Source organism: Homo sapiens, chromosome 6, assembly GCF_000001405.40.
Source record: "Homo sapiens chromosome 6, GRCh38.p14 Primary Assembly".
Classification (NCBI taxonomy): domain Eukaryota; kingdom Metazoa; phylum Chordata; class Mammalia; order Primates; family Hominidae; genus Homo; species Homo sapiens.
In genome coordinates, this window is record NC_000006.12 from 168,292,263 (window position 1) to 168,320,040 (window position 27,778).

Consider the following 27,778-nt stretch of genomic DNA (forward strand, 5'->3'; position numbering starts at 1 on the left):
AGCTGAGCAAACAATTTGGAAACACAGAATAACTCCAAAGAAAACCAAAAGAAGGGGATAATGAAAGCAAGAGCAGAAATTAATGAAATAGAATATGAAGGAAAAATAGAGACATCAGTGCAAATAAGACCTGGTTCTTTAGAAAAACGGGCAATATTAACACACTGCTGGCAAGATCATCTAAAAAAATAAAGTTAGAAAAAGACAAAAACAATTCCTTTTGTGGAAGGAATAATATTGGTATACCCTGGGCAAGATTGATCAGACGCAGAAAATGGGGAAAGCAGAAAAAAAAGCAGTGCCACAGATGAAAACGATATAGCTGCATCCGTGGTAATGATGTTTCAAATCTTAAGAGAAATGCATGTGCAACTTTATGTTACTAAACTTAAAAATTTAGATGAAATAGAAGATTTCCTAGTAAAGCATACATTTGCAAGCCGACTTGAAAATATAGAGAGAAACTTGGTGAGACTAAAGCATTTAAGAGAGTATATGTTCAAAAATTCACAAAAACCCAGAAGGTTATACAATCAGGTCCACAAATTTTGAGTGAACATATGATTCCTGTCTTTTACATACCATTTATTGAAATATAAGAAGAAGAAAACCATCACAGCTGCTTTTATGGGCTGGTTTAGCTTTGGGATGAAAACCAGATGTGAGTATTATATGAAAGAAATTTCATAGGCCAATTTCTTCTATGAACATAAGATACAATCCTAAAAAAAAATTTACAACCTAATTCTGGCAGTGTCCTAAAAAGACACATTGTAAATAATTGAATGTCTGGACTTTGTAAAAAAAATTCGTCTGAGGTCGGGGTGGCCACGTGGGTTTGGTAAATGAGAAGACCGGCCATTAGCTGAGCCTGCTGGAGCTGTGCCAGGTGCTTTGGAGCTCATCTTCTCCCTAATTATGTTTAAGTACCATTTAAAAGTACAAACAAAAACACCATAACCAAACATTGTTCATCCTATGAATGCATGATTGGTTTAGCAATGGACATTTTGTTAATATGATTCATCTTATTAACATAGTGAATGAAAAATATCAATTATCTCAAAAAATATTAAATTTTCACATCATTTTGCAATAATATATATGCACGTAAACTGGAACTTTTCCTAGCCTAAAAAGATTAACTTTTCCTTAACTTATGATAACATTGTATTTACCCAAAATCACAAAAATTATGAAATATAGAAGGGGCTTTAAAAAAAAATAAAAACAAGAAGGAATGCTCACTAACATTCTGTCAACTACTTTTGCTTCCTGGGTGCTGCTGAACATGGTGCTTATGGCCCCAGCACTTGCAGTCATGCTAGAAAAACACACAGAAAGTAGAAGGATTGGAATTTCCAGTCTATTTGTTAGGGAGAAACCATTCTCTCTTACGTCCATTACTCCCTCACTTCAACTTTCCACGTAAAGGAAATTCCACTGACCAGCAGTCCTTTCTGGACACTTCTCTGCAGCTCCCACTGGCTCACTGTGGGGAAAGCAGAGTGACTTGGCGGGCAGAGGGGGGCCGATGATATCGGGAGAAGAAGCTGGGCCTGTGGCCAGGACCCGACTTCCAGCCTGTGACTGGTCAGTCAATGCAGCCCCCAGCTTGGTGTAGTGCTCTGTCATTGCTGTCTTGAAATTCCTGATGATTTTGTCTTTGAACTTGTGTTCTGTAAGTGACGTCCCCAGGGATGACAGAGATTACTTGTGAGTAGAGGAGGTCCATCCAACACGCACGTCTGCTACTGCTCTTTGCCTCCCCGTCCCCACAGAGCACCCACGATGCCCATGAGCACAGACCCGCGATGGCAGTTGTGCAGCTAGACCCGAAGCACACAGACAGTGAGCATGGAGCACTTACCACTGAGCAGAAAGGGAGCTGACAGCCACAGAGGCCACACTTTCCTCTCAAACCAGAACCTACACCTAACACAGAGAGAAGGCAATGCCATCCTGAGAAACATGAGTGCCAGGAGCTCTGTCACATCTGTCCCCGAATGCTTGCCGTTTCACTGGGGCTAGGTGTGAGGACACAGAGGAAGGGGAAGAGGACGGCCACGCTTCTCCCCTCCTAGTCCTTCCCTACCTGTCAGCGAGCTGGAGGTGCAGCCCGTGGGCGGAGCGTGCACGTGGGGTTCACCTGGAGCATTGCACGGCTCTGCTAAGAACATCCTTCCCCTGATGCTATCCCTCCCCGCTCCCCCCACCCCACAACAGGCCCCGGTGTGTGATGTTCCCCTTTCTGTGTACCCTAGAACTTAAAGTATAATAAAATATGTGTGTGTGTGTATGTGTGTGTGTGTGTGTATATATATATATATATATATATATACACATATAAAGAAGAACATCCTTCCCTACCTGTCAGTGAACTGGAGGTGCAGCCTGCAGGCGGAGCATGCATGTCAAGTTCACCTGGAGCATTGCACAGCTCTGGTAAGAACAAAATGCAAATGTGCGTGAGAGCTACAGAACACACCTGCAGCTTCAACGATTCTGCGATTCTGCAGCTTCAATGATTCTGCATGCAACTTAGATTTTATAACACTGGCATGCAGTATAAAGACAAACAACAGAATTCATGCCCACAATTTAAAATTTTAATTTTCTATACTTTGAATGACATTAAATAGCAAATACACATCCTGACAAGTTGAGGAAGAAACCGTGGCATGAAAAGGAGCTGCTTTATACTCAAGTGCCTTTCACAGCACCGAGTCTTGCTTGTGGAACAAGGGGCTCAGCATCTTCCCTTTGGTGCTGAGTCCCAAGCATATGCTGGGGCCCTGGCAGCAGTCCTGCCCCTTCCTCCTCCTCTGCTGTTTGGAGCCACTCCAACTGTTCTCCTGAGCCGCGTGGGCAGCTGAGTGACAAGGCCCTCACCCCGACAGGATCTTCTGAGGATCAGGTGGGCAAATCTGTGAATTCACAGCTCAATATTGGGTAGCCCACTTTTCCGCAGATATAATACCAGTATTTTCTCAAATAGAATCGATAGTATAACCTTTGGCTGCTTAAATTTTGACTTTGCTTTTGCTTCAGAACCTGGGTAGGAAAGAGGAGTGTTATTTACTGGGTTCAAACAGACACTCTGCCTGGTTTGATTGCAGGCACTGAAAATCCCACAGAACCCACAGGCAAATTCCCAAAACTAGTGAGAGGGTTTAATAAGGCTGCAGGATACAAAATAAACACAGTAACATACATACAGGTACATGCACCTAACTTAAAATTCCAATTTTATTTATTATACAGAAAAGGCATATAGGGATACATGTAAGAAAATATGGGCATAATTTTAAGAAAAAAATTTAAAAATTTACTGAGGTGCATAGAATAGAACTAGGTTAACTGACATGAAGACTTGTTATGAAGATCGTCATAATCTCCCAAGTCAGCCTATAAATATAAATGCAATTCCATTGAAACCCAACAGAGGCTTTTCACTTGACAAGATGATCCTGTGATCCACACAGGTATAAAGAACCCAAATGGCCAAGACAGCATGGAAGAAGAAAAGCTGCGATATTTGGCTGAGAGTCGTTATCAAGCCTTATTCAAAAGCTGCAGAGTTGACTTATTTGTCACTGGAGGATGAAGAAATAAACTGTGAAAGAGAATAGCTGTGTCCCCAGGAGGAGACCTCACGTACGTGATGCCCAGGTAGCTGGAGCCAGCACAGGCCAGTGGGAAAGAGCAGATCCATCCACAGCGGTGAGGAGATGGTCATGGAGGTCATGGAGGACAGACACCCGGAATCACGGAAAGAGCAGATCCATCCACAGCGGTGAGGAGATGGTCATGGAGGACAGGCACCCAGAATCAGGGAAAGAGTGGATCCATCCACAGCGGTGAGGAGATGGTCATGGAGGTCATGGAGGACAGACACCCGGAATCACGGAAAGAGCAGATCCATCCACAGCGGTGAGGAGATGGTCATGGAGGACAGGCACCCGGAATCAGGGAAAGAGCAGATCCATCCACAGTGGTGAGAAGATGCTCATGGAGGACAGGCACCCAGAATCAGGGAAAGAGTGGATCCATCCACAGTGGTGAGAAGATGCTCATGGAGGACAGGCACCCAGAATCAGGGAAACAGCGGATCCATCCACAGCGGTGAGGAGATGGTCATGGAGGACAGGCACCCGGAATCAGGGAAACAGCGGATCCATCCACAGCGGTGAGGAGATGGTCATGGAGGTCATGGAGGACAGGCACCCAGAATCAGGGAAAGAGCAGATCCATCCACAGTGGTGAGAAGATGCTCATGGAGGACAGGCACCCAGAATCAGGGAAAGAGTGGATCCATCCACAGCGGTGAGGAGATGGTCATGGAGGACAAGCACCCGGAATCAGCAGCAGAGCTCTCCTCCTACACAAGGGCAAGTATCACGGGCACCTCCAGGCAAAAGGCAAAGATGCTAAACTGCTAATAACAATAAGGAATAGCTGTATAATAGCAGACTGCATAGGAGCTCTACAAATACAACTTTTTAAAACCCACAAATCATAAATGAAAAGATCCCTAAATATGATGACATTGACCCAAAACCCTGCACTCAGCCAAAACACCATCAACAAATTTATAGACAAGCCTCAGCTGGGGAAGTGATACTCGCAAAACCTGTAACTTACCACTCACCAAAAACTAGTGTCCACATTTAAGGACTCCTACACATCAATGAAAACAATGAGAAAATGGGGGAAAAGGGTATGTAGAGGTTAATTCACAAAGGAAACTAGAAGGCCAAGAAAAATATGAAAATTGTTCAACCTCATTATAAACTGAGAAATGCACATAATGAACCCTAATTAAACACCATTTTATATCTGTTTGATTTGGCACCATTACAAAGGCCTGACAATACCATGTTTTGGAAGTGAGAAAGTTGGAAGTCTTGGGCATGGCAGGTGGGAGTGTGGTCAGAAGAACAATGGTCCCCCAGAGATGTCCGCGTCCTAATCCCCAGAACTTGTGAATATGTCAGTTGATGTGGCACAGGGGGATGAAGTTTGCCAAGGGAATTAGGTGGCTATCAACTGACCCGAGAGGGGAAACTATCCCCAATTGTCCGGGTGGACCCAGTGTGATAATCACAGGGGTCCTCATGAGAGGAAGAGGGAAGCATAAGGGAGAAAATAGGAGAGGCACAGCTTGAGAAGGACTCACAGATGTTCCCAGCTTTCACAGTGGAAGAGGAGGCCCAGAGCCACTGGCTTCTAGAAGCTGCAAAAGGCAAAGAAACAGCTTCTTCCCTAGAACCTCCGGGAGTCAGCCCTGCCAACACCTGGAACTCAGCCCAGGGAGAATGATTGTGGACCTCCGCCCTCCAGAATGGTAGGAGGATAAATTTGCTGTGTTTTAAGCCCCCAAGTCTGTGGTAGTTTGTGACAGATGAAACACATACAGCTACCTGGGAGAGACATGGGGTATCTATACAGAGAGAGTCTTGCTTGCGTGGACAGAAAGACAGAGAGATGGATGTTTGCTGCAGCGTTGCTTGAAACGGCAACGTAAGAGTCCATCATTAGAGGAATGGACGGATGAACTTTGGCCTGGTCAGTGGGGCAATGGCCCAGTCAAGGGCAGCACGGGGCAGACACGGGCGTGTGGAGGTGTCGGCGCAGCCCGGGTGGGTCCGTGTCCCAGCCCCTGGTGAGGAGTGATTACTCCTCACACGTCTGTAGGAGAACTTGTGTGAGTGAATGGCACCAAGTCTGGCTTATCAAAGAGCTCAGTAAATATTCTCCTGGTAATTGTCACATATCCTGATGTAATATTGAGTGAACACACACATTGGAAAAATGATGACATTTATTCAAAGCATGAAAATGTAAAAGGATGCTTGGCGGTGTTTCAGGTACACGCATGTACCTATAAGTATAGGAAAAAATAGGTAAATATAGGCAAACTTAGCAGACATCCGTCCTGACTTCAGAGCTGTGGCTAACTCTGTGATGGAGGGAGAGGCTTTAGATACAGTTTTTACACATTACTTATTGTTTGAAAATTAACTATTTGAAGGAAATGGAGCAGCATTCTAACTTGCCCCAGATCCATTTGGCGAGGGCATGAGGAATGGGTATGTGGTACTTGCATTTGTTTTTTGTTTTAAATACTTCAAAATTTTAAATATGTTTTTGAATAAGAAAAAGGCAATGAACCAATAGAAACAGAGAGGCCAAGTACACACCTTTGGGATCCAACTGTATTTAGTGGTGGTATATCATCCTCTCCTGCCACCCTGTTATGCTTTATTTTAACAGCCAAGAAAGATGCTAAGTGTCATGCTAACGCCAAAATTCAGCTGGGAGGTTAGCATCTTCCCTAATGTAAGATAATTCCATCCATTCCTTCACGTACCTTCATGTACATGCAATGACCTAGCGTAGCTACTGTGGAGATTACACGTGAATACATACATAAGCTGTGATCTGTTCAAAGAGGCTTCTGCTCTAGTTGTGAGCTGGGACCTTGGGCAACAGATTGGTTTTGGAAATAAGAAGCCTGAGGTTAATTTCAGACACCTCCACGTGCTGGCTGGGTGGGTGCCCTGAGCAAGCCAACTATTCATTTCGGCTTTGGTTCTTTTAGCTTTAAAATATAGTGTAGATATAAAATACCCACAATATCTACCTCACAGGATTGTCATGGGCACCAGAAGAAGATTTTTGTGGAAGTACTTTGTAAATACTAATTATTAATCATATATACTCGTTAAAAATAAATAGTAGATAGTAAATGTCAGCCACTCACAACTATGCTATAAATCTCAGAGTTAGTGAACATGTCCCTTAACCCAAATAGTTAACATTTTCTCAACTACAAGTCCCTGAGAGTCCTTTAATAAATTACTATTTTCCCTAAATTATATGTGGAAAATTATATGTAAAATAATCTTCCTATTAAATAGGGTATCATATTATCTCATCTTCCTCAACCAATCCAGTAGCTGGTGCAGGTCTCCCCAGCTTAGGCATAATTTGTTTCAGTTGTACCAATACATGAAGAAGTTAAATTCCTTCCACATGCTTGGTGTCAGCTCTTCTAAGCACCTGTGCTTCTGTGATCTTTCTGAGATGAACATACGTGAGTTCTGTGCTCACAGCTGCAAATAAAGACAAACTCTGAGGATCTGCCTGACTCTGGGTTCCATAACCTCCACTGTTTCTAACAGTTTGAAATTTGGTTAAATAAAAAGGATATTTGACAGTGAATAAATGAATATAAATAAAATTTAAATGGTATTCTACTCCAGGCACTGTTCTTGTCATTGCTTGAATTTTGTGACTCTGAGTGAGGTGAAATGCCTTCCAAGGAGTCACAGATCCCAGCCACAGCTGGACAAAACAAGGCAGGTTTAGAGCCAGCAGACACACAGGCCGCTCATGCAAAACACGGATTTGCTTTCAGCGAACTCAGCGAACCGAGTCCCCACGTGCCAACTCCTGGGCACTGCCCAGCTTCTCCAGCATGTCACCATGTGCTCCGGGGCCACCGCGTCCCTGAAGGCTCCATCGTCGGACGGTTCTACAATAGCTTCTTTCTGTACCCAACACAAACCCGTCATTGCAGGAAGTCCCTAGAGCACCAGCCCACCTCAAGGATGGACAGCGGAGGCCAGGTAAGAAAGCCGAAAATCAACAAGGAACGCTGGGCTCCATGAAGGAGGGGCCATGTGGCTGTTTCTACAGGGACCCTCAGGGTCACACAGAGACTTGTTCCAGGGCCAGGGGACACCATGCACTTTGGCTGCAGGACCCGGTGGGCTGGAAGAGTGTCTTCCGGGCAGACTTCAGAGACCCCCCGTAAGGAGTGTTGTCCTAAGGCCAATGCGCTGGAGGCACCGAGGGCGTTCAAAGACTGCAGAGGCTCTATTGCCTTTTCCTGAACGATGGCCAGTGCAGCCCTCACACAAAGGGGTCCCCCTCACTGCTGCTGCAGACCAGCACCAGGACAAGGGCGATGGGTGGGTCAGTGCTAGACAGCATGCGGGAAATGACTGTGTCATCTCAGCCTTGGGAGCGTCCCTCCAGGAGGGGTCCAGGACAGGAGGAAGGAAGCTCTCTCTCTCCAGCACTGACACAGAGAGGCCTTGTGGCTGCTTCATCGTCATGGAACCAGACACTTCCTGTCACCCAGGATGGAAGATGCATTTGCAGGAACAAACATTTGAAATTCCAGATAAGTCCTCAAGTGGGGTGAGGGGTGGCGATGGAGGAGAGTCATTCTTAAGGAGAATGAAGCTTTAGTTTAGCGACTAAAGTCATCGATTTGCTGTTCTGTCCCGGTGTGTGCCCTGCCCTTGCTTAGGAGACTGTAGCCAAAAGAAAAACAGAAATAAAGTGGAATTAAAAATTCAAAAATAGAAATTAAAAGATTGACTAGAGCATTATTTCTATAAGAATATTCTGATTTCAGTAAGAACTCTCAGCCGGGTGTGGTGGCTCACACCTGTAATCTCAGCACTTTGGGAGGCCAAGGTGGGTGGATTACGAGGTCAGGAGATTGGGACCATCCTGGCCAACATGGTGAAACCCCGTCTATGCTAAAGATATAAAAAATTAGCCAGGCGTGGTGGCAGGTGCCTGTAGTCCCAGCTACTTGGGAGGCTGAGGCTGGAGAATCGCTTGAACCTGGGAGGCGGAGGTTGCAGTGAGCTGAGTTCGTGCCACTGCACTCCAGCCTGGGCGACAGATTGACTCTGTCTCAAAAAACAAACAAACAAACAAACAAAAAAACAAAAAACAAAAACAAAACAAAACAAAAACTCTCATTTCTTGCTGGGGATGAAGAAGAAGCGCCATGGAAGAGTCTCCGGTTTTCTTGGAGCCCGTTGTTGCTGTCGCCTGTGACAGCGGCCAGCGACCGGGGCCTCCGGAGGCCGAGCAGCCTGGAGTTCTGCATCCTCCTGTGGCAGCCGCCTGTGTGGGCCTCTCTCACAGGCATGGAGTCCCCATGCCCAGACCCTGGGCCAGGCCCCTTCTCTGGAACTTCAGCCTCCCAGAGAACGGGTCTTTCTAAAACACAAATGTAATTACATTCTCCCCCTACACCTCTGCTTCTGAGGAACCGAACACACAAGGGTCCAAGGCTGGATCGTATCTAAAAGCAGAACTCTGACCCACACCTGCCCAGAAAGCCGACTCCTTTTCTGCAATACACAGCCCAGGAGGCCAGTGGCCCGGTCAGGCTCTCAGGGAGCCACATTGCCATCTTTAGTGAGAGCCCAGGAAGCTCAACAGTAACTTCTGTGACAATCAGCTCCGGAGGGCCAAGACTTGATCAGTCCTGACAGCTTCCTAATTTTTGTCCCTGCTTCCACTCGGGACCAACCAGAGAAGGCGAGATACGCCCCCAGGATGCCCGCCTCTCATTAGAGCTGTGGTGTCCCCAGAGCCTGGCCTCCAACAGGGCACAGCTGGGGCTCTGTGTGTTCACGGGAAGCTTCCCTGTTGTGAGCATCTCTGCCTGCCCAGCCCACTCACTGCGGCAAGCCCTGAATAAACAACCTTTGTTTGTCCACACCCGGCGGCCTTTGTTTATTCCACACTTCAAAGCCGGCAGTGGCTGTTCCCCTTGTCCCAGGTGGAACTGGGAGCTATGGGATGACCCACAAGTCCACACCTGGTGACTGTCCAGCTTCATTCCCGGCTCCGGGCCCGCTCTTCTCCCTGGATTGCTCCTGCACTATCTCTCTCTCTTCTTCCTTCCACTCGCCTGTCTTCCTCTCCCCACTCCCTCCGCCTGCCTCTTCCCCGACCCCCATCCAGCTCCTCACTGCCCAGCTTCACCGCCGCTTACCTCTAAGCTTTTACAGAGGTTCACTGCTTTCCGTCTCCTCAGGAAGGCCCAGTGTCAGGTAGGACTCTGCTGTCCTTGGGTTATTGATTAGCCAGCTTGTCTATCCTTTCCTGGGTCTGGTCTCCCAGCGGTTGGCAGCAGGGGCTGAGTCAGCAGCTGTGGTATTACAGCCATGCTCTACTTCCACGAGCAGAGAGCTAAAACTCTGCTCCAGCTGGGCCCCCAAATGCAATGCTGTCCCCAAATGTGTAAGGAATGTTGAACCATGGTCCTCTTCTCTTAGCCATATTTTTGGGACCATTTACCCACCACTGCTCTTGCTATATACATAACCTGTTTTCAGAGAGGGCTGTTTTCATAATTCTTTATCATTTCCAGGGCACCTTTTGATGTGATTGCATTTTCTACTCCAGGCCATAAAAGTTGCAGCAGCATTTAACTCAATTGAGGTAAAAATAATTTGGATAGTTGAACCAGCAAACATTTCAACTATGCAATAGCTTGATTTTATTTAGTGGGATTCAGGAGCCCAAGGCTATGTGAGGGAAGGGTTTGCAGCAGGAGGGAGGGATGAGTCTGCCTTAAGGAGCCCCAGTGCTCAGGAGAGGAGGGGAGGAGCCCCTTCCTGTCTGCACCGCCCAACCTTGACTGCACAGGCAGCCACCCAGTGAGCTCAGCACATTTGGTAACTGAGTGAATGAAAGAACACACCCTGTGTATGGCTTTCACCAGACAAGCCCCCTTTGAAAAGGGCTGTGTCTGCTGGATAGTGGCGGGGCCCATGTGACGTGATTGAGGGCCGCGGTGTGTGAACATGCCCAGTTTACAGCATCATTTCAAAGCCTAGCAGGGCCAACTATGCAAGTGATTGAAAAAGACAGTCAACAAATTCTTGTGGACTTTAATCTTTAAAAATAAATATACTTTTTATCAACCATTTAAAAACTAGGCACCATCACATTAAAGCCACATGAAATCTGTATTATATAATAATTTTGCCCTTTTTTCACTGATCTTTCATTTATTCGCAGAGATTAAATACATACTTGACCCGTAAGGTGGGACGGCATTAAATCCATTCCAGATGCGCTCCCGTTTTCCATCAGGCTTTATGTATTTAACGTTTAGGATCCAGTAACTGTACAGAACCTCGGATTCTGTCATAAGAGGGCTCTGCTATGGTTTGCGTGTGGTTTGTCTCCACCAAAACCTCTGCCAAAATTTGAAATTTGATCCCCAATGTGGTGGTGTTGGGAGGTGGGTCCTGGAGGTTTCTGGGTCATGGGGGCAGAACCCTCATGAATAGACCAACACAGTCCCTCAGAGCTAAGTGAGTTCTCGCTCTGGCGGAATGGCCTAGTTCCCGAGAGAGCAGGTGATTAAAAGAATGGCTTCCTCGGCTTCTGTCTCTTGCTTCTTCTCTCACCATGTGTCTCTTTACACACGCCCGGTCCCCTTCTGCTTTCTACCGTGGGTAGAAGCAGCATAAAGGCCTTATCAGATGCCACTGCCTGTCTAACTTTCCAGCCATGCATATCATGAGCCAAATAAGCCTTTTTTCTTTTTCAATTACCCAGTTCTGTTACAGCAACACAAAATGGACCAAGACAGGCTTTAATTATTCTACAAGCTGGAGCAAGAGGATGTAGAGAGAAAACTTTGCTGGGGTGCCCGCTTATATTCCTGAATTTGATCAGTAATGATACGCTCTGTTTTCTTCAATGATAACGTATGATTTGCTAAAGTAGGTTGGGACATTTTCCCTAATATTATAATTAAATCTTTCACAAATTCTTATAATTTAGAATTCCTGACATATTTTTTACTTTAGCTTAACTTTAATTCTTTATCCTTTCATTTTAGGATAGAAGAGGATAGGATATTTTAGGATAGAAAGGATAAAGAGCAACTTTATCCTGTTATTTTTATTTTTGTTAAAATATTTTTATTGTAAGCATGCTAGAAGTTAGTTCTAAAGACCCCGGAAGTCAAATTCTACATTGTCTACTTTTTAATCACTTGAGAGAGAGGGAAACAGCTCCTCTGTCTTCCAACGCACTTGAAGTCTGCCCCCGTCATCTAATCAATCACACCCCCTCAAATGACAGGCCACGCTCTGCCTTAGTGGGCTTCCTGGTTCATTTCTGCTTCTGTGTGAGTGGTTACAATTATGTCTGTTTAGAGGAAAAATATGCACAGAACATAAGACATTCAGGAGACGAATGTTCACCACAGGGCATCTCCATCCATCCTCTTTCTGCGCGCCTGCCTGGGCCACCTGGCCTTCTTGCAATATCCCTGTTCTCTGAATTCACAGTGCTTAAGACTCTGCCACGCCCATCAGCACCCTGTCGTCAGCCCTCTCAAAAACGGGCTTCTTATGACTGGCGTTCTAATTGTTAACTGTGTTTTAAAGCATTTCCCCAGGCTGCTATCTGCCCTGGGCCTGCACGTGGCATCTGCCCGCTCTTCCTGGTGGTGCCTGGGCGATGTTTGCAGATGGGTCAGGGAGGCTCACCAACTCTGCACACTATAGGGAGGCCATAACCTGGGCCGACTCACCCCTTGCCCCTACTGTGGGGAGCACAGACAGATGTGGGTCCCATTTTCAAACTGCCAGCTTACGCCTCCTTCCAAATCCTGAGGAGCTATCAGCTTCATTTGATGAAGGAGGAAGCCGACTCAGCCAGGCTATGAGGAGGCCAGGCGGGATGGGAACTGGAGACAGAGCTGTCCTCCTGTCCTGGGCTGCCTGGTCCCGCAGAACACTGAGCGGAGGCAAGGAGCCAGGGTGCCGGGTAGACGGGGCAGGAGGGCTAGGGAACCCTCCGAGGACCCCCATGGAATCTGTGAGAATTCTACTTCTTTACTCCAAAGCTACTGGAGAGTAGAAGAGCACTGGCAAGGCCTTGGGCCTCAGGCAAACTGAAATGCATGTTTGGGCCTCCACAGTTAAAATGGGGGAGAAAGAGAGAGCATGAGAGAGGGAGAGAGAGAGAAAGCAAAAGCCAGAGAGCACATTATTGAGGAAGAGAGAGAGGATGGAGAGACAAGGGAAGGAGAACGATTGATTGATTGATTGATTTGGACTGTCAGATCACTGAGGACCCTTCCTGCCCCCGATGCAACGGCTGCATTTTGTCTGGAGTCTGCATGGTTCTCCTGGTCAGCTTGCAGGACTGTGCGGAGCAGGAAGGAATTCGCTTGGCTGGAATGCACCCCTCCGGGCTGCAGGTTGGAAGCTGAATGTCTAGGAAACCACGCCTAGCTTTCTAAAAGACGGGCACTGTCAGAAAACCCTGAGGAGCCCAGACCCACTGCACTCACTCTCCTTATGGGCTGATTCCCTGTGATCTTGGCCTGCAACACGGAGTCGGAGCTGCCTAGAGTTGTGATACAAGCTAGGTCACCACGGAGGATGAACAGGAAGTTTGCACTTTCTGGAGAGTGCACTCAAGCTCCTGCGAAAAGCACCAATGAGTGAGCAGAATGTGTGACTCAATGGAACTTCCTAGCCACGTCTTCAGCCCGGTAGCTACAAAAACATGCGTGGACTGAGGCTGCGCCCACAGTCCTCAGTGAGGACGAGGACTCAGGCTACGGGGCTGTCGTCACAGCCTCACCTGCTAAGTGGTCCTGGAGAAGCCACGCTTCATTATAAAAATGTTGTCATTTTTATAAAATACCCTGTGAATTAACTTTTACAATAACACCCCCATCCATGAGTGGGTTTGAATCATCCTTTTAAATTTCAATGCAGGTGTTTAGAAAGCTTGAGGAAGATTCTGGCCTTCTGTTAGGAAGCAGATTTCAGGAAGGGCAGGTGAAATTGCACACAGACGAGCTCAATGGGTGTTTGAATCTGTCTGCTCTGACCCCTGGGAAATGCTTGCATTTTCTCGTGGTGTGCACAGAGAACAGACCCTGCCTCCACTGTCTTCACTGTCAGGGAGCTAAGCAGCAGCCTCCCCTCACCTACGCTTTGTTCCAGACGTGAAGTTCCTTACAGGCATCTCAAACCAACTCCTTGTTCCAGGAATATTTCACGCCTCCTTCCAAATCTACTCCTGTCCTCCTCTGGTTTTCTGACTGGCTTCCTCCCAACGATCTTGCCCCACTGCATCAGCCCTGAGGGGCCCAGGACGTCTGCGGGGACTTCAACGGCCTTCTCCACCTTCATGTAAAATTCTTTTAATCTTTCAGGAGAAAGCTGCTTTCTGAATTGAAAATGCTGTGGCCCTCACCAGGCAGCTTACCTGAAAACACTGCTATCTTTCTTCTTGAAAATTTGAGGAAAATTCCCTTTGGAAAAGTAAACACCAAAAAAAAAGTTTTTTTTTTCTTTTCCCCAAAACACTTTTATGCCCCCTCTTTTTTTTCTTTTGAGATGGAGTTTCACTCTGTAGCCCAAGCTGGAGTGCAGTGGCGCAATCTTGGCTCACTGCAGCCTCCGCCTCCTGGGTTCAAGCAATTCTCCTGCCTCAGCCTCCCAAGTAGCTGGGATTACAGGTGCATGTCACCAAACCCAGCTATTTTTTTTTTTTTTTGTATTTTTAGCAGAGACGGGGTTTCACCATGTTGGCCAGGATGGTCTTGATCTTCTGACTTTGTGATCCACCCGCCTTGTCTTCCCAAAGTGCTGGGATCACAGGCGTGAGCCACCACGCCCGGCCTATGCTTTACTTTTTATACTAAAACCAGAGTTTAGTCTCTACTCACTTATAAGATGCCTTCCCCGCCCAAAGCTGGCACGTGCCCTGTGATGGGCAGGCATGATGATTATGGTGACCCTACCATGTGCCACACAAGGAATCAGGGAGGAAGAGGTTAAAAGAGGGAAAAAAAATGTTCCTTTTATTTGAGATCATGGCATAATTTGGGTGTTTGTGTATGCTGACAGCTTAACGTGGAGTTTAAACTCAAATTCAATTTCCAGCTCAGAGTCCTGCAACCGCCTCTTTAAAATGCTTTTGGGGAGGAATGGTCAAAGGATTGGGAAACACTTCCCCAGCCAGAGGGGAGTGAGGGCAGGGGAAGCCATGGGAGGATGACAACATGGAAACAAGGTGCATGCCGGGAAGCAGCATCCTGGGCAGACCTTGAAAAGAGACACTAGGTCGGCCGGGGAGGCTGCTGGCATCTGAAACCAGAGCTCCGCATGGAAGTCTTTGCTGGGGCGGGGACTCACGGCCATACTCCACAGGGCAGAACCCATCTGCGGGGACTCCTGTTAAACGGTGGCCTCGGAAGATAAAGCGACTTGGCAAGACGACACTGAAACCCAGACATGCACAGGACACTGCATGGAAAGGGCCCCTGTGTGCAGCAGGCTTCTCTTGACGCAGTCACTGCACCTCACACCATGGTCATGACCTTCAGGGCCGTCGGCTGGAACCTGCGGATCTTCTTCTTCAGGGCCTTGGAGGCCTTAATACGGCACAGCTTGGGCACGGGGGACAGGAGTGGCCCCGAGCTGACCGGGGCCTCCTGGGTCCAGGCCAGCTCCGCATGCCCGGCCGCCACATAGCCCAGTGCCAGGTCACAGTCCCTGCTCTGGGCGCCGCCCTCCTCGTCGCTGCTGCTGGACTCACGGTCTCCGAATCGGTTGGTGGTGTGGTCACTGGACTCTCCCTCGCTGGTCTCCGGGATGACTGACGGGAACCGCGGGTCACACTCGGCCGAGTGCTTGGAGGGCTCTGAGTCGCTCCTGGTGTAGGCGTCCTGGCGGACCAGTGAGGGACGGCCCCGGGCCAGTGGGCCACCTGCTCTCCTGGCCACGGGCCTGGGGGGCCCCAGGTTAGACTCAGGACAGCTGGCCAGGCGGGCCCGGGCCGAGATCTCCACGGTGGACTGCCAGCGGCGATGCTTCCTCCTGGCCACTGAGGTGAGCAGTGACGCCTCAAAGGGGAACAGGGCTTGGGCTGAGGTCCGGTGGCTCTCCTGCGGGGCCACTGCCAAGGGGACGAGGACAGGCATGGGGTAGAGGGTGGACTCAGAACAGGAGCGCCCGGGTGCCTCCCAGGCCAGGGCTGGCCTCCGCTGGAGCCCGCCCCTCCCTGTGGGCCAGTGGGCAGGGTCCCACTCCAGGGATGGCTGGGGGGCTGCATGGGCTCCCTCAGGCCTGTCCAGTAGAAGCAGCGGCTGCCTTGCAAACCTCAGCACCTTGTCCATGGGACTTCTCTTGATTTTTTCAGCCTTGCTCTTGGGGGGACCCATTTTCAGGCTGGCAGCAAAGGATGGGTGGGCAAAGTGCCCAGAGGCCGGTGAGGGGCTCTTGTCCAGCATCCTGGATGGGGATATGATGTTGCCTCGTCCATAGTCCTGAGCTGAGGGTGTCTGCTGGGCCTTTGAGCTGGGAGAAGCCTGCACCATGGTCTCCCTGAGGACACAGCTGTTTGAGGGCTTGGAGCCCTCCTCTGGAAGGCTGCCAGACTGCTGGGGACCCTCAAGGGGCATGTATCCCTGCTGCTGGGGCCCGCCCCTGCCGGCACCCCTGCTCTGAGCTGGCCCTCCCTCGTCCTCCCTCCCTGGGGCGAAGACCAGCAGTCGCCCTCCACCGTCTGTACTCCAGCCACCCTGCCTCTGTGGAGATGGGGACGCTGCATGCCTTAGAGGTCCCTGTTCTCCCTCGCTACCCTTTGCTGGGGTCTCCCGGCCCCACAGATGCAGCAACCTGTCGATATAAGCTCTGGCCCTGGCCGGGCCAGCCTCGAGGACCGGCCCAGTCTGGATGGTGTTCAGACCTGCGGGGCCCCTGGGGCTCTCCCTAGGGAACGAGGGGCCACCTCTCTGTGGGGTTTCCTTAGTCAGGACAAACAGGGGGCTCTGTAGAGCCACGGCGTGCAGGGGGCTGGGGTACGGGTACACCTCCCTGCCGCCCTGGGACACCAGGTCCTGCCGATACTTGGGGTCCGGCACGTGCAGCGGGATATCCACCCCCTGGCAGAGGAGCCCGAGGAGCTCGGCGTCCGCGCTGGCTTTCTGGAGCCCCGTGTCCGCCGGCAGGGCTCTGTCAAGATCACCTGGGAGCGAGAAAAATGAACAAACACGTAACTACGGAGACGATTTAGTGCACTGTTGATTTCATTTCATGCGTGGCAGCTGGGATGGAAACGCTGCTCATTCACTGCTTCGAGGAACTCCTGGGTCCCATGGGAGACGGCGACTCACAGTCACTGAGGTCCGCGTGTAGACACAGGGCGCGGGGCAGACGGGAATGCGTTTAAGACACTGGGCGCGGGGCAGACGGGAATGCGTTTAGACACAGGGTGCAGGGCCTCATTTGCATTTAGACACAGGCGTGGGGCCCGTCTGCATCTAGACACCGCACAGGGCCGTTTGCGTGTAGACACAGGGTGCGGGGCCGTTTGCGTGTAGACACAGGGTGCGGGGCCCTATTTGCGCCTGCAGCGCGGCCCCCTCAGCCTGTTCTGATCCTGCCCGTTGCGGGAGAGTGCATGGGCAGGGAGAATCGCCAGTTCAGCGCCCTCATTTCCCTGAGGGCTTGGAGGCTGAAGAGGCCCCGCAGCAGTGGGATGGAGCCCCAAGGGAGGCCAGGGGCATGAAGCTGGTCCCTGCAGATGCCCTGGAGGAAACCACGGGGCTTCTCAGTAAGAAAAGACCAAATGGTTATTACTAAACCAGGCCTTGTATTAGAAATAAAACAAGGCCAAAAATGACATCTGTGCCTTTGGAGACAGTCTGAAGACAACTACAGCCCCTCCTGGGCCAGCGGGTGGGATCCAGGTGTGAGCCCGGTTCTCTCCCCACCAGCGCTTTCAACCCCACTCTCACTCCAAACACCAGTGGATCCAGGGTTTTTGAAGGATTTTTTTAAGCTTGCTGATGTCCATTTTAAATACAGGGAAAAGTGCTGTGTGTTATTAGAGCTGGTGGTGATGCGCACAGCCGCATTTGGTTCCTGCCTCCATCCAAACCACCACGTGGCCCACGGAGGCCTTCCAGCGTCCCTTAGAGCCTGACAGCGTGCTCCGTGTAGGGTCCCCGGCTCTGCCCTCAGCAGCTGGGGACTGCACTCTGCCATCCCCTGTGCCTGAGATGAGACCCCCACCTTCCCTGGCAGTTTCTTACCTGTAGACACAGGCCTGGGCCAGAATGTGCCCCACGGCTGGCCTGCATCCTCCACGCTCCCTGGGGGCCTGGCGCCCTCCTCGGTAGCCTGGGGTCTCCACGCTGGCACAGTAGTCTCATCAACCGACCGGGGCCTCCAGTCCCCCATGCTGGGCCTGGCCTTGTGGGCCTGGGCCACAGGCAACAAACTGCCCAGCGAGGGAGAGATGTGGTCACTGCAGACGGAGGCACAGGACGTGGACAGGGAGCAGGATCCACCGTCGCTCATCTCGTAAAAGCCTGGACGGAGCAGACAAGGCAGGTCAGTGACCCCCATCCAGAAAAGCCCAGGGCCCCCTCTCCTCCTGAGCTTGTCACGGCACAGGTGGGCCCAGGGGAACCCCTGAGCTGAGGCTACCGGAGGCTGTGTGCCATCGTCCACACGGCCGGCCTGGGAGAGAGTGGCTCAGGTGAGAATGTTCAGGATTCTTCCCAGGAGCTGCCAGTGGGTTGGTCAGAGCCCACTCCACCTGCACTCTGCAGCCCTGGCCCTCCCTCTTCCTGGCAAGTGGTGCCTTTAGTCCTGGGTGGTCGATGCCTGCCTAAGAGGTGGCCTCTTCCTCTGGATTTCAGCCCTTTTAGGACAGGCCTCTGGCCCCTGTCTCTCTCTTTCTTCCCTGGTGCCTGCCAAGTTGAGGAGACCAGTCTGGGGAGGTGCTTCAGCCACAGGCCTCCTGAGTGCAATAACGTCACTTAGACCACAATGTGATTTTTGCAAATTAAAAAAATAAGAGCGAGGTAGCCAATTAATATATATGCCCTGAGAAAGGCTTCAGTGTTGCCTCCTAACTTTCAGATCAGCCTGACGAAGCGGCCATCTCCCTGCACGGACACTAGGATACCTGGAATGGAATTTCAGCCCAAGAGGGGCTGGCGGGATAGGCTTCACCTCTGCCTGTGCTGCGTGCCTGCCCCTGTGTCCGGGAGGTCAGGGCGCCCTGGTACCTGAGCTGGGCCTGCTGTCGCTGTCCAGGGCCTCCCCTGAGGCTGTGCCCACATCCAGCTGCAGCTTGCTAATCTGCAGGTCCAGCTGGTCCAGGTGGGTCTTCAGGCCGATGTCCTGTTGTCTCAGCCGGGACTGAGAAGGGAAAGAAGAGAAAGGGAACTGTTGTACCTATGGAAAGCAAAACTTAAGGCTCAAAGGGGTGAAAACATGCATTGTGAATGCAATTTAAACTCCCAAAGTCCACGCGAAATACATCTTCTAAATCCGGCAGCTGCCCCTGCTCACTCTGAAGCAATTTCCTTGTTCCACTGTCACAAAAAGAAAGCTCTACTGACACCCATCGCCCCCCACACACATACACACACACAAACACACACACACACCCATCCACACACACATACACACACTCACACACAAACACACACACCCATCCACACACACACATACACACACACTCACACAAACACACACACACCCATCCACACACACACACTCACACACACACCCATACACACATATACACACACACTCACACACACACATACACACATGGGTTTTCTCCAGATCAGACTGCTTTACTTATCCTCACTTTTCAAATTACATTTCTTTATAAGGATACAGAATTCCACAGCTTATGAGAGTGAAATCAGGATCAAAAACAACACCTCCTTTTGGCAGACAGGAACTATCTGCACTGTCTGTTTTGCTGCGTTTTTCAGCCTGCGTAAGGGTTTACTCTCCTGTACTAACGCTTTACGCATCTCATGCCCAGGTGCGGTGGCGTCCTTTCACTCGGCCGCCTCTGGGTCCTTGGTGCCTGGGGAGCACAAACCTTTTGACTTTTCAAGAAGGTAAGAAAGTCCCTTGGAAAGAAAGAAAAGCTCCCCCTTCACTATAAGTCCCTTCTCCTTCCCTGATAGAAGAAGTAGCATTTTGAACTGTTACAGGCTTCGGCAGAGCTACCAGGGGAGAAGGTTCTCAGCAAAACATGGAAAATGTCAGCTTTACCTGGAATAAATGCAGCTTGAAAATCGGCCTTCAGGATCTTTTGTTTTGTTTTAGAGACAGGGTCTTGCTCTGTTGCCCAGGCTGGAGTGCAGTGGTGCGATCACGGCTCACTGCAGCATCGACCTCCCCGGGCTCAGGTGATCCTCCCACCTCAGCCGCCCAAGTATCCGGGACTGCAGGCATGCACCATCACGCCCTGCTAATTTTTGTATTTTTTGTAGAGACAGGGTCTTGCCATGTTGCCCAGGCTGGTCTCCAACTCCTGGACTTAAGTGATCTGCCTTCTTTGGCCTCCCAATGTGCTGGGATTACAGGCATGTGCCTGGCCAAGGGACTGTGTATTTAGAAGTTTCCATCACAGCCCTGCCCTGAGAGGCTGCGCCTTCTCCTGGCCTCAGCTTCCCCCACTCTAAAGGGTTTATAATGAGCATGTGTGTGTGTGTACATGTGTGCGTGTGTGTGCGTCTTTCAATTCTAAAACATTTCTTGTTTTGATGAACAACTACGATTAAGGCAAATAATTAATGAATGTAATTATGTGGTTGTTTCTCTTAAGAAAATGATTAATTATATTTCAAAATTTACGTGGGAAATGAGGAGTTCCCCTGAGCCCCATAACCTAGGCCTCAGGGAATTACTTCAGTAATTTCCACAATATGAGAAATCATTACAAGAGAGAGGCAGGTAGCAATGGTTTCCTGTTCTGATGAGAGAATGACTTCTCAGATTTTCCAAACGCAAGTGCCTACTATCAGCACGGGTGAGGGGATGGAGGCCAGGCTCGACCCAGCACACAGCTTCTGTGCCAGGAGCAGACCTCCTCCTCCAGGACCCAACTCAGGGGCCTCCCAACAACCTCCAAAGTTTGCACAGTGACAGAATCTGAAGCCATAATATTTTTTTTTAGACGGAGTCTCGCTCTGTCCTCCAGGCTGGAGTGCAGTGGCGCGAGTTCAGCTCACTGCAAGCTCCACCTCCCGGGTTCAAGCCATTCTCTTGCCTCAGCCTCCCGAGTAGCTGGTACAGGTGCCTGCCACCATGCCCAGCTAAGTTTTTGTATTTTTAGTAGAGACGGGGTTTCACCATGTTAGCCACGATGGTCTCGATCTCCTGACCTCGTGATCCGCCCGCCTCAGCCTCCCAAAGTGCTCGGATTACAGGCATGAGCCACCGCGCCCGGCCTCTGAAGCCATAATATTATCTGTGAATGTGAACATGGCAAAAACCAATCCTGAATTTAATCAAAATGTTATGCTTCCAGAACCACCCAGCTTCACGTAAACATACTGGCTCCTTACCCTGCACACTTTTACACAGGTAAACCACTATCCAAGTGAATAGCACCACCCGCCAAGCCTGAGCAGCACACACAGGCGGGCTCTCCCACACCAGCTATGCAAAGAGGAAGCCTGGATCCAAACAAAGGGGCTGGGTGGATCCTTACAGCACAGGAATTTTCTTTTTCCTGGTGTAAAACAAAACCCATGGTACTGACAGAAAATTAAGTTCCTTTGTGAGGCCACACCTCAACGTTTAAAAGGATCTAAGTGCCCTGTCCTCTTCCAAATCACACTCTCCTTCTTCTGAAGGAGGGAAGCCCCTGCACCCCAGCCAGCTTTGTCCTCCTCCCCCAGCCCCGTTCCCGCCCCCGTGTCTGTGCTGGGTTAATTGCTTTGTGATTAATGTTTGGCCAGCCAGGCCTTCAGTTGCTGGTTTCTGATTAATGGTCGAGGGGCTGCAGGACACACAGAGCTCTCAGGCACTCACAGGTTATTTATTACGTCCTCAGGTCCCGTCTACGTCTGCAGGACTCCACCACTCAGGATTCACGCCGCGCTTGTAACCCCGACCGCGCTTGTAACCCCGACCGCTGTCCCGAACTTGGGGTTTGTTTGACTGTGGTTTTCATTAACTCTTTCTTAGGGTCAGACATTGTGCTCACAGTCACAAAATATATGTGGCCAGGAAGGAGGACAGTCCACTGCAAGGCCAGCCCTAGAGCGTGATCTCCACGCATGTCCATGATTGGACCGACTCACTCCACAGCAGCAAGCGAGCCCTGGATGGCCGTGCTCCACTTCCCTCTGCAAGCGTTCAGGCTAACTCCAGGCGGCCTTGCTCACGGTGTGCTCTGGGGGCATCTATGCCAAACCCCTGGGCCTGGGGAAGGGGCATGAGGGCCTGGTATAAAGGCGCTCATACCAAGCCTCTCCAGGCAGTGGGATCAGCTGGGCACACCTGCAGACCCCAGGCTCCAGGCCCCACTCGTTTCTTGAGACTCTACCAGGTAAGCCTGGGAACCTGCATTTTAACAAGCTTCCCAGGGACCACACAAGTTCCTTAAGACAACAAAAAGTTTGAGGATTTCTATTCCAGGGGGTACCGTTAAAAAAAATAAGTTAATCCCTTTCTTTGCAATGCATTCTTTACGCACCACAAGAGAATGACCTGATTTCCCTGTGCTGTGCCTTTTCCCTGGGCAAGTCAACAGTCCAGACATCGCAACACCTTTACGGCACATGTGGAGGATAAACATGAAAAATGCCTTACTGTTCAGGATATGGAGATGGGATCTGAAACACCTCCTTTCTATCCCTGAGAGCTAGGATGCACAAAGGAAACATTCTATGCCTGAATTCCAAGGCTATCCCCTCCATTCAGGAGAGAGGTAAATGCTGTTACCTAAGTTTAAAGGAGGTCTGTCAATCAACAGCAAAGGGGTCCCTGGTCCACAGACTGGACTTGTGGATAAAAAGGAGCACTGAAGTCTTGCAGGTTTCTGGGGCTGCCTGGCTCTAATGCGTGGCCCTGAGCAAGTTCTCACCCTGCCTCCCTTGGTTCCCGTGTGCTCACAAAGCAAGCACAGCCGGCCCAAGAAAAATGCCAGGCATCATGTTGATGCGGCAGAATCAGACGCGCAGCTTGCTCCTGCAGCATGGAATGTGGGAAGCTGCCAGGGAAAAGGAATTGTTGCAAGCTGCCACTTTCAGAACAAGTCATGACCAGCCATGTCAAGACGGGGAAATTCTTCAGGATAAGATTTCACTGCAGACTCCCGGAGCCCTTCTGTGTCTCTCCCGCTGTGGAGACAGCGCCCACTGGTGAAGGATGGGGTTTTCAGTCTACTCATGGGCCCTGAGTTCCAGGGAGTGGATGAAGTCCTTCTATCTAGGGCTTGTTGGGGAACCTAACCCTTATGAATATGGGAATGGCCGGCACTTCTTGGGAACGACAAGTTTCCTCACAGACATACATGAGGACACAGTCAACCCTCTCTGGACTGGCCACACAGCAGCAAACCCACTTGGGTCGGAGGGCACGGGGATCTCATCAGCTTAGAAACCCAGAACAGGGAGATCCCAACTTCTGAAATCATTTTCCCTTTTGTTGCAGCAATACAAGTCACTCATCTATTTATTCAGCAAAATCCTACTAAGCACCCTCTACTGCACTCTCTTGTGGCACAGTAATTAAAACGCTGCAGCACATTGCGACAAGCCTTGAAGTGATGAGTGCTGCTATTTTCCTGACTGTTTAAATCCCTGCAAATGGTAACAATCGTTCTCACCTGAGAATTCCTGCAGGCTAAATCTGCTCAAGGTCTGATAAATGTTCTTCCTGCCTTCACACCTGAATGATGACCAATGGACAGGTGAGCACCAGGGTGGGCGGAGGGAACCCTGAGTTAGCCGGGAGCTGCTGGAGTGTGTAACTGTTCCAGCAAGCAAGGCTGTTCATTGTATTCAACACTATAGAACTGCTATCACTCCTAATGTTTTTCCCTGTAAGAAAAATGTAAAAGTGTTAAGCCCTGGGCTGATGTCACACAAATTCAATTATTCTTCTCTTTTGATCACATAATCTGTCCCGAGAACAAAGTTTCAAAACAAAGTCTGCGTGTTCCTTCTGGTCCCCACATTAAAAAATAATAATAAAATAAACAAAAATCTGTTTGATCTTCTCTTCCAAAAGGCTACTTGTAATTAGAGACTGAGCGCTTGCAAGTTTGATTTGTATATTTCTTAAGCCAAGTTAATCATCACCTGCACTCCCACCCCCTTGACAGAACAGTTGAAGCCAGCATCTCGGCAGCACCTCCCTTCCCATGTGTGTAACACGTCTGTGGCTGTCGTGTGCTGAGCTGAGGTCACGCAGAAGCTGCGATTGTGTCTGGTGCAAACACACAACAGCATCTCAGCAGCACCTCCCTTCCCATGTGTGTAACACGTCTGTGGCTGTCGTGTGCTGAGCTGAGGGCACGCAGAAGCTGCGATTGTGTCTGGTGCAAACACACAACAGCATCTCAGCAGCACCTCCCTTCCCATCACGTGTGTAACACGTCTGTGGCTGTCGTGTGCTGAGCTGAGGTCACGCAGAAGCTGCGATTGTGTCTGGTGCAAACACACAACAGCATCTCGGCAGCACCTCCCTTCCCATGTGTGTAACACGTCTGTGGCTGTCGTGTGCTGAGCTGAGGTCACGCAGAAGCTGCGATTGTGTCTGGTGCAAACACACAACAGCATCTCGGCAGCACCTCCCTTCCCATGTGTGTAACACGTCTGTGGCTGTCGTGTGCTGAGCTGAGGTCACGCAGAAGCTGCGATTGTGTCTGGTGCAAACACACAACAGCATCTCGGCAGCACCTCCCTTCCCATGTGTGTAACACGTCTGTGGCTGTCGTGTGCTGAGCTGAGGTCACGCAGAAGCTGCGATTGTGTCTGGTGCAAACACACAACAGCATCTCGGCAGCACCTCCCTTCCCATGTGTGTAACACGTCTGTGGCTGTCGTGTGCTGAGCTGAGGTCACGCAGAAGCTGCGATTGTGTCTGGTGCAAACACACAACAGCATCTCGGCAGCACCTCCCTTCCCATGTGTGTAACACGTCTGTGGCTGTCGTGTGCTGAGCTGAGGTCACGCAGAAGCTGCGATTGTGTCTGGTGCAAACACACAACAGCATCTCGGCAGCACCTCCCTTCCCATGTGTGTAACACGTCTGTGGCTGTCGTGTGCTGAGCTGAGGTCACGCAGAAGCTGCGATTGTGTCTGGTGCAAACACACAACAGCATCTCGGCAGCACCTCCCTTCCCATGTGTGTAACACGTCTGTGGCTGTCGTGTGCTGAGCTGAGGTCACGCAGAAGCTGCGATTGTGTCTGGTGCAAACACACAACAGCATCTCGGCAGCACCTCCCTTCCCATGTGTGTAACACGTCTGTGGCTGTCGTGTGCTGAGCTGAGGTCACGCAGAAGCTGCGATTGTGTCTGGTGCAAACACACAACAGCATCTCAGCAGCACCTCCCTTCCCATGTGTGTAACACGTCTGTGGCTGTCGTGTGCTGAGCTGCAAACACACAACAGCATCTCGGCAGCACCTCCCTTCCCATGTGTGTAACACGTCTGTGGCTGTCGTGTGCTGAGCTGAGGTCACGCAGAAGCTGCGATTGTGTGTGGTGCAAACACACAACAGCATCTCGGCAGCACCTCCCTTCCCATGTGTGTAACACGTCTGTGGCTGTCGTGTGCTGAGCTGAGGTCACGCAGAAGCTGCGATTGTGTCTGGTGCAAACACACAACAGCATCTCGGCAGCACCTCCCTTCCCATGTGTGTAACACGTCTGTGGCTGTCGTGTGCTGAGCTGAGGTCACGCAGAAGCTGCGATTGTGTCTGGTGCAAACACACAACAGCATCTCGGCAGCACCTCCCTTCCCATGTGTGTAACACGTCTGTGGCTGTCGTGTGCTGAGCTGAGGTCACGCAGAAGCTGCGATTGTGTCTGGTGCAAACACACAACAGCATCTCGGCAGCACCTCCCTTCCCATCACATGTGTGTAACACGTCTGTGGCTGTCGTGTGCTGAGCTGAGGTCACGCAGAAGCTGCGATTGTGTCTGGTGCAAACACACAACATCTCAGCAGCACCTCCCTTCCCATCACATATGTGTAACACGTCTGTGGCTGTCGTGTGCTGAGCTGAGGTCACACAGAGGCTGCGATTGTGTCTGGTGCAAACACACAAACGACCTAAACAGACGGCCAGGATTTGGTCACTGGGTGAGTAAACAAAGTCTGTACACCAGCTACTTTCCTCTCAGGAGGCATCAGGGGCAGAGTTGGGGGCCCAGGTTAATCCCACACAGTCTACCACCTCCGTCTTCCACAAGGTCAGGAGATAACGGGGAACCTGGGAGGCGTCCCAGACACTGGACTTCCTGATTCTTTAATCCAGAAGGGTTTGCTATGTTAACAACCTGGCTGAGCGAGCGAGGCAGACGGTCATGCCGCAGCTTCACCTGGGCAACATTTAAAGGCAGTAACTTTTAACAGGACAGACTTAAATTTCTAATGTAAAAGAAATTTCACTTAGTGTAACAGAGGTAACACAAGTAAACATATCTTTCTCCAGCCTTTTTAGTTTGTCTTTAAGAAAATACAGCAACTACGAAAACGCTTGTGAGTTGTTTCCAGTAAGTTTAACAAAATCATACAATAACATAATAAGCAGAGGGGTAATGAGTGGAGTTCCTTTCATTGTGTGAAAGGAGGGGTTCAGAGCGCCCAGGGAGTGCTGAAGAGGGCCCGTGGCAGGGAAATCAGAGTCTCTCTCCTCTGGATCAGAGGACACGCCTCTCCTTACAGGTCAGGTCACATTTTAAAGTTGAAGAGGCCTTTGTCAGTTACATGCTTTCCCCCAATACTTTATTACAGTGACGCGACCTTAAGAAAAGTCAGCACATTCCTGAGGACAAGTCGGGGTGCGCTTTACCACGCGGACACTGTTGCCCCTAACCCAAGACAGCAGGGGGGACCTGGTCCCCGGGGGGGGAGTGATGCCAGGATCCCGAGCCGACCTCCGCCAGGGGAACGCCGGTCAGTGCCTGCAGGTCAGATCAGTGCTGTAACCCTGTAACGAACAGGGTGTCTCTCCCAAATCTGCCAGCTTCGGGATGCTGGCGTGGGTAGGCGCACATCCACGCACGGCGGAGCGCGGGCTGCAGCCCCGGGCAGTTTTCAGGGTCCTCACCTGTGCGCTTCACCTCTAGGCACCTGCGCGCGGGGCCTCCATGTCCCCCTCCTTGGAGACCGAACTGCATTCCATTCAAATCCCAAAGGACGTCCCCTCCATCCATCAGACACCCCCGTCCCACTAACACACAGTCGCTGCCGAAGGAGCAGCGCCTGTGGCCCGCACACCTCGCAGCCCCGAGTCCCGGCGCCCGGTCCTTACCAGCTGCTCCTGCAGCGCGGCCAGCGCCGCCTCCAGCTGCTGCTCGGGGCCGTGGAGGCCGTGGGGGCCGCAGGGCGCGGCGGGCGCGGGCGGGGGCTGCAGGGCCAGGGCGCCCCGTACCCGCTCCTGCTGCGTGGCTCGCAGCCCCTGCAGCTCCTGCAGCCCCGCGAACGCCGCGCGCAACCTCGCGCCCAACCTACGGCGGTCCCAGCCCGCGGACCCCGGGGGTCCGCCCGGCGTCCACATCTCCCGGGCAGGGTCCCGGCCTCCCGAACCCCACGAGCGGCGCCGGAGGCCCAGCGCGCGCGGATCCCGAGCTGTGTCGCGGGTCCTCCTGCGCCTCCTCTCTCCGCCCCCGGCTCCGCAGGTCGCCAAGGTGGGCTGGAATCTGTGGCCAGGCGCGGAGGGCGGGGTCTGCACGCGCCCCGAGGTCACCGCGGCCTCCCCCGGACCCGCCCCGCCGACCCCCCAGGGCCCCTCGCCGGCTGCGGGCAGGGCGGGCGCACCCAGACCCCGGGGCCAGCTGAGCGCCTCCGTGACTTCAGCGGGGAGGGCCAGCCGGGAGGAGGAGCCCGGGGGAGAGGGGCAAAGAGGCGCAAGTGGAACAAAGGCGGAGAAAGGCTTGTTAATGTTTTAAAATGTTTATAAAGATA

The 27,778-nt window shown here is 51.0% G+C and overlaps 1 protein-coding gene across 6 annotated transcripts, besides 6 other annotated features; it reads right to left on the bottom strand.

The window, feature by feature from the left end:
* Window positions 1-567: 567 nt before the first annotated feature.
* DACT2 (dishevelled binding antagonist of beta catenin 2) lies at window positions 568-27,515 on the bottom strand. Of its 6 annotated transcripts, NM_001286351.2 has the most exons (6): window positions 27,126-27,515; window positions 18,890-19,022; window positions 17,906-18,184; window positions 2,371-2,442; window positions 1,871-1,935; window positions 568-1,679 (listed from the first exon to the last, which is right to left on the bottom strand). In NM_001286351.2, the coding sequence occupies exons 1-6, from the start codon at window positions 27,369-27,371 to the stop codon at window positions 1,632-1,634; spliced, it is 843 nt and encodes a 280-aa protein (NP_001273280.1). In that variant the 5' UTR covers window positions 27,372-27,515; the 3' UTR covers window positions 568-1,631. The 6 variants fall into 6 exon arrangements, 5 of the variants coding, with proteins under 5 accessions (NP_001273280.1, NP_999627.2, XP_047274211.1 ...); NM_214462.5 differs by lacking the exons at window positions 568-1,679; window positions 1,871-1,935; window positions 2,371-2,442 and adding an exon at window positions 14,642-16,836; XM_047418255.1 differs by lacking the exons at window positions 568-1,679; window positions 1,871-1,935; window positions 2,371-2,442; window positions 27,126-27,515 and adding exons at window positions 14,642-16,836; window positions 26,922-27,094.
* Window positions 1,254-1,754: an enhancer, noted in NCBI's record as "H3K4me1 hESC enhancer chr6:168694196-168694696 (GRCh37/hg19 assembly coordinates)". NCBI's record gives its function as "activates a minimal SCP1, AML or CMV promoter by ChIP-STARR-seq in primed H9 embryonic stem cells {active_cell/tissue: H9 hESC(primed)}" and the evidence as "EXISTENCE:reporter gene assay evidence [ECO:0000049][PMID:30033119]".
* Window positions 8,402-9,390: an enhancer, noted in NCBI's record as "NANOG-H3K27ac-H3K4me1 hESC enhancer chr6:168701344-168702332 (GRCh37/hg19 assembly coordinates)". NCBI's record gives its function as "activates a minimal SCP1, AML or CMV promoter by ChIP-STARR-seq in naive H9 embryonic stem cells {active_cell/tissue: H9 hESC(naive)}" and the evidence as "EXISTENCE:reporter gene assay evidence [ECO:0000049][PMID:30033119]".
* Window positions 10,287-10,541: a silencer, noted in NCBI's record as "fragment chr6:168703229-168703483 (GRCh37/hg19 assembly coordinates)". NCBI's record gives its function as "represses an EF-1alpha promoter that drives an FKBP-Casp9 reporter gene in an ReSE screen in phorbol 12-myristate 13-acetate-treated (for megakaryocytic differentiation) K562 erythroleukemia cells {active_cell/tissue: K562(+PMA)}" and the evidence as "EXISTENCE:reporter gene assay evidence [ECO:0000049][PMID:32094911]".
* Window positions 17,422-18,409: an enhancer, noted in NCBI's record as "H3K4me1 hESC enhancer chr6:168710364-168711351 (GRCh37/hg19 assembly coordinates)". NCBI's record gives its function as "activates a minimal SCP1, AML or CMV promoter by ChIP-STARR-seq in naive H9 embryonic stem cells {active_cell/tissue: H9 hESC(naive)}" and the evidence as "EXISTENCE:reporter gene assay evidence [ECO:0000049][PMID:30033119]".
* Window positions 20,519-21,443: an enhancer, noted in NCBI's record as "H3K27ac-H3K4me1 hESC enhancer chr6:168713461-168714385 (GRCh37/hg19 assembly coordinates)". NCBI's record gives its function as "activates a minimal SCP1, AML or CMV promoter by ChIP-STARR-seq in primed H9 embryonic stem cells {active_cell/tissue: H9 hESC(primed)}" and the evidence as "EXISTENCE:reporter gene assay evidence [ECO:0000049][PMID:30033119]".
* Window positions 21,444-22,369: an enhancer, noted in NCBI's record as "H3K27ac-H3K4me1 hESC enhancer chr6:168714386-168715311 (GRCh37/hg19 assembly coordinates)". NCBI's record gives its function as "activates a minimal SCP1, AML or CMV promoter by ChIP-STARR-seq in primed H9 embryonic stem cells {active_cell/tissue: H9 hESC(primed)}" and the evidence as "EXISTENCE:reporter gene assay evidence [ECO:0000049][PMID:30033119]".
* Window positions 27,516-27,778: the final 263 nt, after the last annotated feature.

Bases quoted from the DNA above. Each gene is read 5' to 3' on its own strand.
- DACT2 (NM_214462.5), bottom strand. From the start codon at position 27,371: ATGTGGACGCCGGGCGGACCCCCGGGGTCCGCGGGCTGGGACCGCCGT. The intron at 19,023-27,125 runs GTAAGGACCGGG...TTCCCTTCTCAG, and splicing joins CCGCGCTGCAGGAGCAGCTG to TCCCGGCTGAGACAACAGGA. The intron at 18,185-18,889 runs GTACCAGGGCGC...TGCTCCGTCCAG, and splicing joins CGACAGCAGGCCCAGCTCAG to GCTTTTACGAGATGAGCGAC.